The sequence below is a fragment of the Homo sapiens genome, chromosome 11 (genome assembly GCF_000001405.40).
Source record: "Homo sapiens chromosome 11, GRCh38.p14 Primary Assembly".
In the NCBI taxonomy this organism is placed as follows: domain Eukaryota; kingdom Metazoa; phylum Chordata; class Mammalia; order Primates; family Hominidae; genus Homo; species Homo sapiens.
Genome location: NC_000011.10, coordinates 38,672,497 through 38,688,118, shown reverse-complemented (window position 1 = coordinate 38,688,118; position 15,622 = coordinate 38,672,497). Strand labels below are relative to the sequence as shown.

Genomic DNA, 15,622 nt, shown 5'->3' with positions numbered 1-15,622 from the left:
AGATCAATCCAATTATCTCAATGAATTTTCTAATTGTCTTTATTATTAATATACTAGCATTTATGCTTTTTATTCATAAGACTCATCTAATTATTTACCAAATTTGGCTTTATAAACTTTATGTGTATATGTATAATATTGTTAATATACATGTTGTTTTATAGAAACTCCAAATTCTTTATTTTTAATTGCCAATGTTTCAGAATTAATTGGGTGCCCTAATATCTACCATTGGCATTACATCGTGTTGCTTATTTTTTTGAGGCTTTCTCTGTTTCTCAGTTATAGAGTAAAATTATTAACATATGTTTGTATGTTCTACATATATTGAATAATATATATTGTAAATTACTACTGTATGCTGCTGAAATCCCCATATAAGTCTTTCTCCCAAGCCTACCACTACTCTATATTATCCTAATGCTATCAGTCTTCAGATATTACCACCACTTTTAGCTTCAACAGGATATTTATGTTCCTGAAATAACATCTACCTATAGGATCTTTTGTGAATTATTGTAGCAAAAAGTTTAAAGTTGATACTAATTTTCCAAAGAAAGCCAATAACAAAAGGATATAGATGAAGCCTAGGTAAGACCAACATGTGGTTGAAACAGGAAAACAATATTTTATCATACCTCTTATGTACTCATCAAACTACAGATTTTGGTAGCATAAATTGTTAAAATCATCTCTGAACTGTTGGATACTTCCATACTCACTGTTCTCTGTGTTCATCTAAGAAAAAGGCACTGATTACGAAAAGAAAATGACACTTACTTCAATCTTGCAAGTCTAGAGAGGTTAGAATACATTCAGCAATGGCATTTATTGTTAGCAGAATCCAGTGTAAATCAGAGATAAAGCTGACATATTTCACAGGCTGCTCACAGTGGGACTATCAGGTGTCACAGTATGTGATGGATTAAATGGGAGGGGGGATTAAAGTTGTGCAAATTGTTTTTGTGCAGGGATTCAAATGTCAGACACAGAAAATGATTAGGGGTGTCTGGTGAAGAATAATAATAAAGCTGACACTGATCTACGGATTGGTTATCACTTAGTTTCAGGGGCTGACGGGCTTTAACCTTTAAACCAGTCAGTCTTTAGTGAGAGAGAATGAAGCTGAATTGATAAACGCAGGAAAGTCTATTCTCTAGTGGGATTTTGACCAGGATTTAATTTCTATTAATTGGCACTTATAAATCTACATTTGCAACACAAAGATAATTAGTCTTCATTATGGGAGGCAGAAGATGGTAAGAGGAATAAATTTAGCATTTGAAATCCAGCTTAGCCTCATACTAAATGGGTGACATTTGGTAAGACATCTTACTGCACATACCTTGATTGTTTGCATCAGTAAAATAAGAATAATAATAAAACCACTGTCTATTTAAAAAGGTTTTATTTAGTCAGGCTCAAAATCAAAATTATAGAGTAAGCTAAAAAACCATTACTTAGGAATTATTCAGACATGGGCTTTCTGAAACTAGTACAAGAGGTAAAAACATCCCTGAAAGCAGATGCTGTATATTGTTAGTGTGCTTAAGGGTATCAAGCATGCTAACATGGATCTGAATAAATCTCTGTAACTTCCATTAGTGAGTTCTAAGTTAAGCATGTTCCTTAGTATACTTACACATCTTCAGAAGTGCAAGATATTACTGGAACTCACTGCTGGTGTTCATAATACATTAAGGTAAACACTTTTTATGTTGTGGCGGTGTTGTAGTTGTTTTATTCTTATGAAATAATGGAGTATTTAAATCCAGTTTTTAATAAAGAAAGCAATTAACTCTTTAAAATATTTACTTGACGACATTAGTATACATCATTTATGTGAGTCCATCTGGGTATGTTCTCAGGATTTTTGTTTTAAAGTGATGACCTCACTTTCACCTGAATCTTACTAAAATGGAACTCTAATAAAGCTGTCAAAACCTGTGAATTGTTCCTAACCAAATTACATATAGCAAGCTATTCATGCGGGATTCTTTTTCTTTTCATGCCTCCGGCTGTTTTGTTGTCTCAGTTTTTACAGTAACTCTCCTGTTCACCTGTGTCAAAAATGTAGAGAAATTTATATTAATACATTTCTTAAGAGATGTAGGTTTCAGTCACTGATAATTTACAATCAGTTTTTTTTATTTTAAAGAATAAAATGTCTCCTTAATAACAATTTTGAATTTAAAAAATCCCTGTTTTACCAAAATCTAACTCTCTAAAATAAAGCTAATTTTAGTTTCATGTTACCTTTTAAAATGTCAACTGTACATGGACTATTTTACTAACAATATCATCTCATCTTCATTTTTACTTAACAATATCATATATATATTACAATATATAAATAATTAAATATATAATACATTGCAAAGATAAATTTGGAAAATAATTAAATGAATTTGTCCTATATCTAACTGTTTTTCAATTGATGAAAGATAGAATTCCAGTTTTTAAATGTGGAAAGGATGATTAAAATTAGAACATTCCTATTGTGCATTATAAAATGTACAGATTAGTCAACAATCATCAGTGGATGAAACCAACAACAGAAGGAACGAGGCTGTCACCATCTGATCTAAATCAATGCCCCTACATATTGGGGGTCTCCTGATGGAATGCATATGAAACGCATAGAAACAACTAAAGTAGTCTAGTCAAAATCAGAGTCTAGATCTAATCAGTCTTTTTAAATAACTTTCATTCACAGGGAATATTAAGCATAGAAGAACAAGTTAACTAAAAGCACAATGAAGCAAACATTGCCATATTCAAACGGCAAAACACTGACAATGAGATTCTGACCTATTTCTGCCATTCTCAGTGGCATAAAGAATGTGTTTGAAATTTAACAAGAGTTACAAAACATAACTTTATATTAAATGGATTTTGTTATTGGATCAAAAATCCGGTAAATTTTGTAAAAGTAATTCTTGCAATTTGGAAAACACTTTTATGTATTTATGTGAATAATGTAGTATTATTTGATACCCAAGAATTTGTATTAAATTTTCTGTGGATAATTACAGTTTATTATTTTTATAAAAATCCATATTTTTAGAGATGACAAAACAACAGATTGTAGGAGTAAGGTGGCATGATCAAGTAGAAATCCTTCCATGCTTTTATATTGACTGCCTTAAAAATGCAGGAAATCATGCAGAAGTTTTAAACCTTCAGGTCCGAAGGTGGCTTAGGTTACTTCTACCTCCTATTCATTGGTGAGGACACAGTTACATTGTCCTCAAACACTGAGAAGGAAGATTGAAAATGCAGTCTTTCTGGATGCCAAAGAAAACTAGTAAAATGGTAAACACGTATCTACCACTGCCTTTTTCATTGTTTTTCTTAAGTAAAATATTTTTCTCAATTCAATAGAACATTACTATACATATTAAAATGTTAGCGAACTTACGTTAAGAGTTTATGACAGGTCCGGCACCCAGTTAAATCCCTTTACATGAATCAGCTCATTTAATTCCATTCCCAAAGCACCTATTTTAAGATGAGAATAATTAGCCTAAAAATGTCTTGCAGGTAGGAACTAAACTAGGTTGTGAAATCACACAGTCTGACTTCATGATGTCTCCCTAACAAGGTTGTTAGGATAATATATAAAAATATTGCAATATATTTCTTATTAAAAGAACTATATTTTTAAACCTAACCATCAAAACTAATGTTACATAATGTAATTAAAATTTTCAACAGAATTGCTGAATTTTGTTTTTTTACTTCATGAAAATCAAGTATATTTTCCTTATAATAGCTATTGTTTAGAGGTAGTTTTGAAGAAAATTGCTCAAACCTCAAAGTTAGACAAACCTAGGTCTGAAATTGTGCTCTAATACGTATTATCAAGTGGCTTAATTTCTTCAATCTTTTCTTTTTCATCAAGAAATAGATATAATTTTAAAAACCTTATAGGGTTGATTTAACAAGTATAACATGAGCTAAGAAATTAAAAGATGCCAGGATAAATGATAAACATATTAGTTATAATAAGGCCAATTTACATTTGATTTCAGCTATTCAATTTTAAATGTGCATGGTCTTATCTGTTCCTTATGAAAATCTCTATGAAATAAGTAGAGCAAATATTACGACCTCCATAAGCTACATAAGAAAACTAAGACTAGGGGCATAAATTACTTCTTTATGATTACACAGCTACAAAAGTCAGGCATGGCGGCCAATTTGTTTTAAGTTGTATTGTTGCAACTTTTATTTTCCACAATATATCAGTGTGCAGTTCTTTCTTGCACATCTCCTCAGGAGAAGTAAAATCTCTAGCTTTTCCTAGTACCTGAAATAGTATATGAAGAAGTTGAATGAACTGAAAAGTTCTGTAGAGTCTTTTATTAGCAACAAAAGCAGTACTTGAAAGAACATAGTCAATAGCTATTTAAGCTACATAATAAAAGGAGAAACTGAAAACATAATTGCGGATCCTCCACCAGAGCCTTTCAGAGTTAATACATGTCAAACCGCAAAGAACATTACAAACTGAAATCAATCAGTATTCAGAGAAATTCAGGCCAGTATTTGAATTCAGATATCAAATGCATCTGACAATATCTGTAAGCTATTCCTGGGACAGATTTAATTATTTGAATGAAACTAATGAAAATAAAAACTTTTATCAGAGTCTGTATATATAAATTATTGTTTTTCTGAAAACTACCAGGCTAATTACATTTGCTTCTAATAAATAATAATATTTATACCTTTTTTTTCTGAGACGGAGTCTCGCTCTGTCGCCCAGGCTGGAGTGCAGTGGCGCGAACTCGGCTCACTGCAAGCTCCTCCTCCCAGGTTCGCTCCATTCTCCTGCCTCAGCCTCCCAAGTAGCTGGGACGACAGGCGCCTGCCACCACGCCCAGCTAATTACTTTGAATTTTTATTAGAGACAGGGTTTCATCGTGTTAGCCAGGATGATCTCCTGACCTCGTGATCCACCCGCCTCAGCCTCCCAAAGTGCTGGGATTGCAGGTGTGAGCCACTGCACCCGGCCAATATTTATACTTTTATTGAGGGTGTCCTATATGAAAAATACTTTTCAGTTGATAATTTAATTTTCAAAATACCCTATACGGACTACTTTTTGCATTTCACGGATGAACTAATTTATAGAATAGTCAAGTGACTTCAAGGCGCATAGCTAGTAAGTAATAAATGCAAGACTTAAGCCACTCCTGAAGTTAAAGACCTAAGTCTCCATCACCAAACTATATGTCCCTGTTTATAAAGGTGATCTCTGTGGAGCATAGGAGTAGGTTAAGGAATGATGTTATTAAAAATAGTAAGTAAAAAAAATTATACATTTATGACTAGGTATAAAAATTACATAGTTATTTTGGGCAAGGCAACTTAAATGGATCTGAGTGTCTTATGAGTTTGGGATGGTACTAGACAGATGTATTCACAATTACTAAATTCCAACAGTAGAAAGTTACAAGATTTTTGTTTTTTGTTTTCAGTATGGCAAAACACAGTTTGGAACTTCTCCAAGGTAACATATTATGAGTTTAACAACATTATACTCAGAATTATGATAAATATTTAGAGTAATTAGGAAATATGTCTACATGTTTTAAGCCACTCTCTAAATTTCTACTCTTTTGAGAATTGTAAAATCTGATTTTAGGTGACCTTTTTGAACTGATGGCATTACAAACTGTGCTGCCGATATGAATTTGGGAATTTCATTCTTTATCTGGAGAATTCACCTTTAAGCCAGATACCTTGACTAGCCTCTATCATTTTATAATTTATAGTTGGTTTTGTTTTGCCTTTAATGCTCCACAGAAAAGTTCACTACTTGTTGTAAATATCAACCCAGTTGCTCAGCCTGCCATTTCACAGGTCGTTATGAATCTGACTTTACAAAATAGAATAATACCTGTCAATCTCGTTTTTTTCCCTGTTGGTAAATAATTTATTTGTTCTTATCAATCCATCCACTCGGAATGCTCTTGTTTTGCCCCCCATTTTTTCCACAAATACCTTATGATTCAGTTCTACTGTACTTTATACTTCTCATACTTAAAAACTGATTGTGAAACCTCTGAAGTTTTATGTATAAACTTTTTTTTGTATGAGTGAATTCTTCAGTTATTTCATATGGTTTTAACATGTCTTTAAAACTTAAGTGGGAGCAAGAACTACGTCTAAATACTCACTGGAATTACTAATTCCAGATCTTTTCATGTCGATTACACAATTTAGACACTTATTGCAAGAAAGGTTTGCATGATTGTGTGAGAAAGCTAGGGAAATGAATCCATCTTTTATCTTTATTTTAAAAGTTCTAAGTAAAAATTAACTCAAATGTTTATAAAGTACTAATGATAGCAAATGATCTTGACATAACAACATAAAATCTAAACAAGCTACTTAAAAGTAATCAGTAGGCTAAGATCCTAAAACATAGATTTCAATTCTAAGTAATAAAATAAAACATTTTAATACCTTCTCTATTGCAAATTCTAAAATGGAATTGGAGTATACCTAATTCTAATTGTCCTGATCTTCATAATATTTTGCAAGAAAGACACTGCTGACTTTCAATTGTTTTATGTCTTTTTTCAGAGAAAGTGTTTCCATTCATGATGATGCTCACTCTACTTCGATGTTCCCAATGTCCAAAACAGTGCCTGATACAAAAGAGACAATAAATCAGTAGTTCTCAGCCTTTTTTGATACCTAAAAGAATCATCTGGATTACTGGTTAAGAAAGAGATTCCCAGAAAGTCAGTGGTTTTTGTGAGGCACTTGTATTTGCATTGTGAAACAGGTGGTACGGGTAACTCTGATGCTCATGGTCCATGGACCATACTTTCAGAAATGGTTTAATAAATTAGCAAATGCCTGGTTGTAATAGAGTTTATCAAATGGCCAATGAAAGCTCAGGAAATAAGTCCTATGTTTTGCGGAAGACATAAAAGTTTCAAATAAGACAACTTGAGGACAAAATGCAATGATTATTTAAAGGAAAAAGGAGAAAGCACTGAGAGAAAATTGGAAGAATGCCGTTGAGCAGAAGTATATTGATGGCATTATATCATCATTATTTATTCTACTACAGTAATTGTCAGCATTTTCTTTTACAGTATTTTTTCCTGTTAGAAGGAAGTTCTCAGCATTAGTCACAGCCAAAGAGCAATGGGTGTTGTCCTGGGGAGTAAGGTGCCTGAGAGCATTAGTGTCAGTTAAGAATGATAGCCCCGCAGTTCCTGAAAAAGGTCAAAGAGAGAAAGGTGACACTGACTCAGGTTGAGAATAGGAGGATGTATTCTGTCATGCTCCAAGCAGCCTTGTCCCTGAGGAGACAGGTAATGAGAGAGCATCATTCACAGTGTGTTACCAAGCCCCCAATGGGGATTAGTTTCATCTATGAGAAACACCTGAGAAGATTAAAGATATTGAAGCATTTCCTACTGAAGAGTATTTAAGACGTTTTCTTAAATATAAATTATGTCCAAATTTTTGTCTTGTCCTCTCAGAAAAAAACAATTCTGAGGTTGCTGTCTCTATTCTTTTAACGTATCTTCCTGTTATTTTTTCTGTATTCTCATGTTTTACTGGCAAGCCATGATTTTTTAAGACTTGAGGTAGCCTCTTCCAACATGAAGTGGCAGAATTCTAGCAAGGCCTTTCTAATATTTTTAAACCGTCTAAAAATTGCGAGATGACTCCAGTTTTTGCTAGAATATCAAAATGGCCCCAAGCAATGTTGGAAAATTTGTGATGTTTGCTTTAAACATTCCTTTTTTGTGTGTGTGACCTTGGTAGAAAACCTCTGAATGCCTGCTGAGTCAACTAGAGCCCAATATCTCCTAATATTTCCAAAACATTTTCTATCCCCTATTTGGTTCAGTTAAATTAGATAAGCATTAATTTAACATTGACTGCAAGCCAGGAATTAGCTACAAAATCAGTACTCAAAGAAACAAAGCTATACAAAACAAATGAGACAGAGACTCTGGCTTCAAGAAATGCAGTTCAGAGAGTGATACACGTATCCAAATATATAATAAATGACATCTTAAATCCTGTAATAGCAGAAAAATGGTAGGAAAACTAAGCCTAAATTGACCTAAGGGAAATTTATTAATTACAGAAAATTTTAAGAGTGAGTTTAGTTTTAGGCATGTTGTGTGAGAAGGTCATGTGATATACTAGGGCATATAATTCTCTTTGTAATGTGGTTTGAGGTTACCTATGTTGCCTCTGATTTTAAAATGGATTGGCTTCCGGTATTTCTAGAGCTATTTCCTTTCAGCTTCAAATCATTCAATAAAATGAAAGTATTTTAATCTCAGAATAATTAGAGTCTTCAGATTCATGTGTTTAGAATTATTTAGTCAGGTACCCAGATTTGAATTAATCACTGGGGATATGTTACATTGATTAAGTTTGGTGTGGATAATTTGTTCCAATCATTGAGCTGGGATAGGTCCACAGATAGATCTTGTAGAATGAAAAGATGTTGCCGTATATCCCCAGGCCAAAAGTACAAATGTTAGCATTTAAAAGGAGGAATGCATTCTAAAGAGATCATAGGACAGGTTCCTAACTCTGCCTCTGACGGGGAACGACAGAGATAATTTTTGAAACCTTTTGAGGTGCATAAAACAAAGGAAAGGATTTACTATTCTGCAACAAAAAAACTACTCCCGCATCTTAATGGCATAAAAAGATGTTTATTTCTTGCTTACACAACATCTGCCATGGGTCTGGTAAATTCTCCAGAGCAGTGGTATATCATGTGGTTGTTCAGATTCCAGGCTTCATTGATCTTGTTGAACCTCCATTTTAACATACACATTCTCAAGAAAGCTGGATGTATGGGGTTGTCAATTAAAAATGCCATTTCATCGCTACTCGATTATGTCATTTCTGTTCATAATGCACTGAATAGAACTAAACATGTTACGCAGAGATGTATAACCCCCTCTTGTCACTTAAATGTCCAGAATTGAACCATGACCCATTGACCAGAACTAGTTGCATGGCCCCATCCCACCATATTAGAATGTAGCAACATCAAATCTTCCTCTGTGTCCAGAAGAAAATAAAACTAAACATGAGTGATTATTTTAAACCTCTACAAGTTCTAGAACTGTCCAGGTGAGGGAATAGGAAGAGCAGGGCCAAGAAGGTGTAAAATAGTATACTGAGTTCTTGGAGCAACATGGAGTCTAGCATTTTTGAAATGTCAAACACAGAGTGGAAATATGGAAGAGTCTAGAGAGTTGCATATGAACCAGGTTACACAGCAATTTACAAAGCAGATGGTGATTTCATCATGAAGTCTATCTTGATTTACTCTAAATTTAATCAGAACATTAACTTTTAGAACTTTTTAAAACATATTCTATTTGTCTGTCTAAAATATTGCCCAATAAGATTAAAAGTTATCTAGGGGTATACGCATACCTTGCTCTTGGGAATTCCTCTACTGCCAGCAAGAAGAAATTTTAATTATGGCTAAACTGGATAACTTCGATATGCTACCATATGATTTATACCTTGTGGAAACACTCAGACATCATGTAGTAGCCACAGCTGAATGACTTTGAAGAGTATTAGCAGCCTGGATCTGGAGTCCTTATCAGTCTCTACCGTAGGTTTTATCGTGGCATTGGGTTTATTATTTCATTGGCTGAGGAACTTAATTCCCAGTGCTGTCAGTCAGATACATAAAACAGGATCACAATTCATTGTAACATATTTAAAAAGTGAGACTTCAGAGATAAGTGCTGAAAATGAAAGGACATATTTGATTATGTTTTAAACTTGCTTAAAGTTTTGTTGATAAATTGAAATGTAAACAGTACAAACAAACTTTTTGAAGGTTCATTAATCCTAGAAAGAAGAATCAGAATGTTTAGCTTTCTAGAAAAATGAAAGGCTAACAGGAAAAATAGCTATAGGAGAGAAGTAGAGAAGTTTTATTTAAAAATTTTGCTAAAAGTAAAAAGACTTCCATAAAGACTCTGATTTATGACTATGTCAAGACATTGACCATTAAATATGTAAAAATAATTTACTTCTTTATATCTGAGTTTTTACATTTACACATTGAAGTATAGGAATAGACCATATCTAATGTAAGGATTTATAAAGGCATATATCTTGTTTTCTAAGTTTAACAATTATTGAGCACTAACATTAATTTAATTTGATTTGGTTTGGAGATTACCTAGATAACATTTCTGGTTGTGGTTTTGTTTAGAAGAAATTTTTATCAAACCTCTGAATGGCCCTTCCTTGCTGACTGAGTAATGGTCAGTATTTGAATATCTTTAGAAGGGGTGTTTGTATAACTTGAAAACACTAGAACTGCACTGGACCTGGTCCCTCATGGAATCATTTAAAAAATACACATTACAGTAAACAAAAATAATAATAAGGCACTTATTATTTAGATCTTTAAGAGCCTTTAAAGAGGTTCAAGTAATGAGGTTCAAGACAAGTGCTGCCAAAATACACCACCTTGGCATCTGAGAAAATAGCAGAGGCAGGAAGATCTCTCTGAGACCCCTTCTTCCCTGAAGTGTGTCATAAGTCCTAGCTGACCTTCCCCTGGAAGTTGCTCATAAAACTCATTCCAGAGCATTCCTCCCTATGCCCAGAGGAAAGGAGTGTCCTCATCTGTGAAGACACAGAGACATCAATAAGAATCTGACCAAAAGACCTTGCTAAATTCCCACCCATTTATTATCATTAGATCCTACCCTTTTGTCTTCCAATCATGAATGTCCATAAAAATACTCATTTTTCTATGTTTCTTTGGGTCTTTCTTTCTGAAGGATCCCGTATTATGTAAAATATATATTAAAACAATTTGTGTGTTGTTTTCTTATTAATTTGTCGTTTGACATAGAGGTTGCAGCCATAAACTTCGTGATGGATGGGGAAAAAGATATTACCTTTCTCCTCTACAATAGTAAACCAGAGCAACAATTCTAATTTATTTATTTATTTAGAGACAGAGTCTCGCTCTGTCACCCTGGCTGGAGTGCAGTGGCACGATCTTGGCACACTGCAACTTCCACCTCCCAGGCTCAAGTGATTCTCCTGCCTCAGCCTCCCGAGTAGTTGGGATTATAGATGTCTGCCACTACACCTGTCTAATTTTTGTTAAAAACAGAGACACTGACCTCAAATGATCCTCCCTCCTCGGCCTCCCAAAGTGTTGGTATTACAGGCATAAGTCACTGCACCCAGACTCAATTCTTAAAATCTTATTTCTCAATCCCTGGTCTGCCATAGTCCATGGTTGCTCCAGAGATTCTCTCACAACAAAATGCATCTAGTGTAACCTGCCTGACTTTCCTCTTTCTTTATCCCCCTATGACGTGCTGCAGCTGTGCTATGTCCCTAATAGGATTGTCTACAAGTATTCCCACCCCTGCCTAAGGATACTGCCTGGCTTCTCCAGGATGACCCTCTACTTCCTGGTCTTCCTGTGTTCCTCATGGATAGTTGTGCACACAACCTCGTGAGAAGGAATTTTTTCTACTCATCTGACTCATGGGTTTCTATACTGCATGGCAAATCCTCTCCTGTTTATTTCTTTGTACTACTGGGATAAGGCTAATTTCCTTTAAGCATTTCTTGGAGTATTATCAAGCTCAGGTTTGCTGTATCTATCAGATAACGCTCTTGTAAACTTGGGAAAGGGAGAAAGGAGACATGTCAGTGAGAGTTTAATCCCTTCTCACTTGACAGCCATTGAATAAAGCAACTGAAAAAATAAAACAAGATGGTATCCTAGAACAGTCATTTTTTAATTAGTGATCACTTCCATGAGATTATCTTACATTCCCCAATTTCTGGGAAGTTCAGGTAGATTATCGAATTTGCCCTACCTTTGCTATTTCTTTAATGTGTCAGAAAATGGTCAGTTGAGAATTCACAGTACTCTTATTACTTCCCCTGTGTACATACTTGAAGCAGATTATACATCTGAATATTGGATAAAATTCCATCTGCAAAATTGGAGAACCATTTATACTTCCAGCTGGGACCTCACTTTGGAAATGTAACTTCAAAAGCATTTGAGATGTACTCCTCTTCTATCTTGCTCTGAAACCTGGCCCAATGATGTAGATGTGAAATTAATCATTCATAATCTTCATTGCCTGATATTCTGTCTTTATTCAGATAAGTTCACAAATAACTGTAATTCACATTTCCCTCCAATGTTATCCTTCACATTTCCCTCCAATGTTATCCTTCTCTTTAAAAAAATACATGATTGTATAGCAAATCTTGCTACAGAAGTTCTGCATGGACTTAACCTGTTTCTCATTCATCAAGCTTTCCTCTTTCTCACCCTCTAAAAATATTGCCATAAAATTTTCTTGATCTGAACTGGACAGAAAAACAACTTTTCTTTTCTTTTCCTGAACAACTACAAAGTAAAAACATAAATGGGAGACAAGGAAAAAAGTCCTCATAAAAATGGAAATTATATTAGTCCGTTCTCACACTGATATAAGGACATACCTGAGACTGGGTAGCTTATAAAGAAAAGAGGTTTAATTGACTCACAGCTCCACATGGGTGGAGGGGCCTCAGGAAACTTATAATCATGGCAGAAGGCATCTCTTCACAGGGTGGCAGGAGAGAGAGAATGAGTGTCGAACAAAGGGGGAGAAGCCCCTTATAAAACCATCAGATCTCATGAGAAATCACTGTCACAAGAACAGCATGGGGGTAACCACTCCCATGATTCAATTACCTCCCACTGGGTCCCTCCCATGATGTGTGGGAATTATAGGAACTACAATTCAAGCAGAGATTTGGGTGAGGACACAGCCAAACTATATCAGAAATCATTATATCATTATGACTTTGAGTCCATGGATGATTTTTGTAGGTGTCTCTTTAGATACCATGCTATAAATTTTTAATGATGAATGATGCTAGTAGCAAAATTTAACATAATTCAAAATCTTATTTTCCTCAACTTGGGCATGTTATTTTCTTCAAATACCTCTAGGACCTACCCTAAGAAAACTTTCTGAACCATTATTGTGAAGGGATTAGTATATGCCAAAACATTGCTCCCTTCAGCCCTCAGAAAGAGCTGAGCAACTCTGAGGTAGCTCTTAGCTATAGGCAGCCTTGTTGCCTCAGGCTGAAGCCACTTTGCCCATATACTCTAATGGACTGTATAAAAATTATTATTTCCTATTTGACCCATGGTATAAGAAAAAATGCGATGTACTGATTCACATTTCCAAAATTCTGTAATCACAATTTCTATTGTAATATCCAATTTTCTAGTGGAGTTAGTCTTTGCAAAAGGGTAGAGTGGACTTGAACTAATCTGAGTAAATTTGTTATTTTTTTCCTCATGCCATCCAAAAAGAACATGACTTGTTAAGAAACTGTGTGTTTGCATGAAAGAGTTCATCTCTTTACAACTTCTCATGGTCATTTAATTTTTTTCTTAAAAAATAAAAAAACTAAAAAATTCCTTAATTAAATTAACTTGCTTAATTTTTATTTTTCACATTTACCATCTAGTTGCAAAATATACATTTTAAACATTATTCCAATTTTTACCTAGAAATTGCCTCTTCAATAATTTTTGAGTTTGAGATTTTACTTCAAGAATGATGACTCATATAAAATTGGTTATTTATATTCTAATTGCAGTAATATAGCAGCCTTGTTAGAATGAGTCGGCAAGGTACTAGAACTTACGCATTCAATTTTTAGCAGACAATAAAATATAAATTAAATAAATGGCAAGCCAAATTCCTGCTCCTGTCTTGGCTCAGTCCTTTTGTGTAGTCCCAGAGCAAGAAACAGGGTCCAAAACCAAAAGTAATTTAAAAGTAGTTAGTGATTTCCAATGTAAGCTGAGGCTCAAACATCACTAAATTTAACCAATTTCCAACTCAGAGAAGTATTTCTCTTTTTTTCAGAATCTTCTTTGCTCCCTTCTGGGATTCCTAAAATTCATGATTACTCACAAGATTTCTTCCAATCTCACACATTAAAAAAACCTAAAAATAAAAACAAATAAACAAATAAAATTAAAATTCTCTGTGTTCTCTACTTAAATGACTTTTCTTTTTTAACTTTTCCTTTTCTCAATGTTAATACTTCCTCCTGCCATACATGGCAATAGATTTTCTGCTGCTACAATTGGCCATGCCCTGTTGTTTTGGGTATTTGAAGGGTCTAGGAGGTCTATGCTTCTTCATATTCACTTATGTTAATTTATGAAAAAGAAAGAAAGGAAGAGAGGGATGGAGGAAGGAAGGAAAGAAAAGGAAGGAAGGAAGGAAAAGACAAGACAGGGAGAGAGGAAAGTTGAGAAGGAGAGAAGGTGGGATGGAGGGAGGGAGAGAGAGAAAGACAAGAGAGAAGGAGAGAAAGAAAAAACATTCACATAGTCCATTTGGAAGTCCTGCACTTTTGCTCAGTATGCTTTTTTGAAACAAAATTCCTTCTTAGACTTTGTGGTCAATCAAATTATTCACCTAGTTACAGTTTATATACTAAGAAAAATAGGGATCCAAGAACGTATGCCATTATTAGCAAATTGGAAATTGGAGTCTAAGTAAAAGAAAAAGGTAAAAGAGTGAGATAAGGAATGGGTGTATATTATATGCATTACACTTTGAAACTTCAGAAAACCATCATGAAATTCAAAAGAAACTACCTAATATTGGAAATTGATAAAGCTGATTAGAAAATCACTACTTAAGAATTACTCCATAACACTATAACAGATGATATATTTTATCTCATTCCTATTAACAGTTTCACAGAATAGATGATAAGTCTGGATTTTACAGTGATGACTGATTCTCAAAGACTGATTGAAGTCACACTATTAGTAACTGGCTGAGCCAGGATGACAGGAGCTTTCTTTAAGTAACGTATCTATTTAATCATTTCCACAAATCTATAAGATATTTTTCACTTTCATTTTACCAATCATAAAACTCCAGCCAGAGAATTTAAGCCTTCTAAAACCATCAAAGCAGCACATTATTTGCATTGAAACTTTTGGATCACCCTGGTAATATAGGTATTGACAAAGAGTCTCTCATTAACCAAACTTTAGTCAGGCTTTTCTGAACTTTAGGCTCTGACTTTGAGGTTTCTGTGTTCATCTCTGTTTATGTAACCGCCCAATGGCTACTCCTTGCCTGCTGCCCAGACAGAGCCAACTTGTCAAGACAGAGAAATTGCAATAGAGAGAGTTTGATTCACACAGAATTGGCTGTACAGGAGATTGGAATTTTACTTTTACTGAAATCAGTCTCCCTGAAAACTCAAGGACTGGGGTTTTTAAGGGTAATTGCTGGGTAGGGGGGTCAGAAAGTGGGGAGTCCTGATTGTTTGGGCCAGAGATAAAATCACAGAGAGTGGAAGCTGTCCTCTTGAGCTAAGTAAGCTCCTGGGTGGGGGCCAGTTTTACTCACCCAGGAACTGACTCAGTGCAAGAGGATAGCTTTATCATTCTGGGTGGTGTCAGGTAATCCATTGAGGACAGGGTCTGCAAAATATCTCAAGCACTGATCTTAGGTTTTGCAATAGTGATGTTATCCCTAGGAGCAATTTAGGGAGGTTCAGAATC

The 15,622-nt window shown here is 34.5% G+C and overlaps 1 long non-coding RNA gene across 2 annotated transcripts in view; it reads right to left on the bottom strand.

The window, feature by feature from the left end:
• Window positions 1-370: 370 nt before the first annotated feature.
• LOC105376635 (uncharacterized) overlaps window positions 371-15,622 on the bottom strand; it is a 41,273-nt gene continuing 26,021 nt past the window's right edge. Inside the window, exons 3-7 of one of the 2 annotated variants that reach the window (NR_188550.1) lie at window positions 11,886-12,109; window positions 9,540-9,770; window positions 6,517-6,662; window positions 3,422-3,501; window positions 371-2,060 (exon numbers count right to left, since the gene is read on the bottom strand). This is a non-coding gene — a long non-coding RNA (uncharacterized LOC105376635). Of the gene's footprint in view, window positions 2,061-3,421; window positions 3,502-6,477; window positions 6,663-9,539; window positions 9,771-11,885; window positions 12,110-15,622 lie in introns of both variants that reach the window. The other variant, NR_188551.1, reaches the window with a different exon arrangement.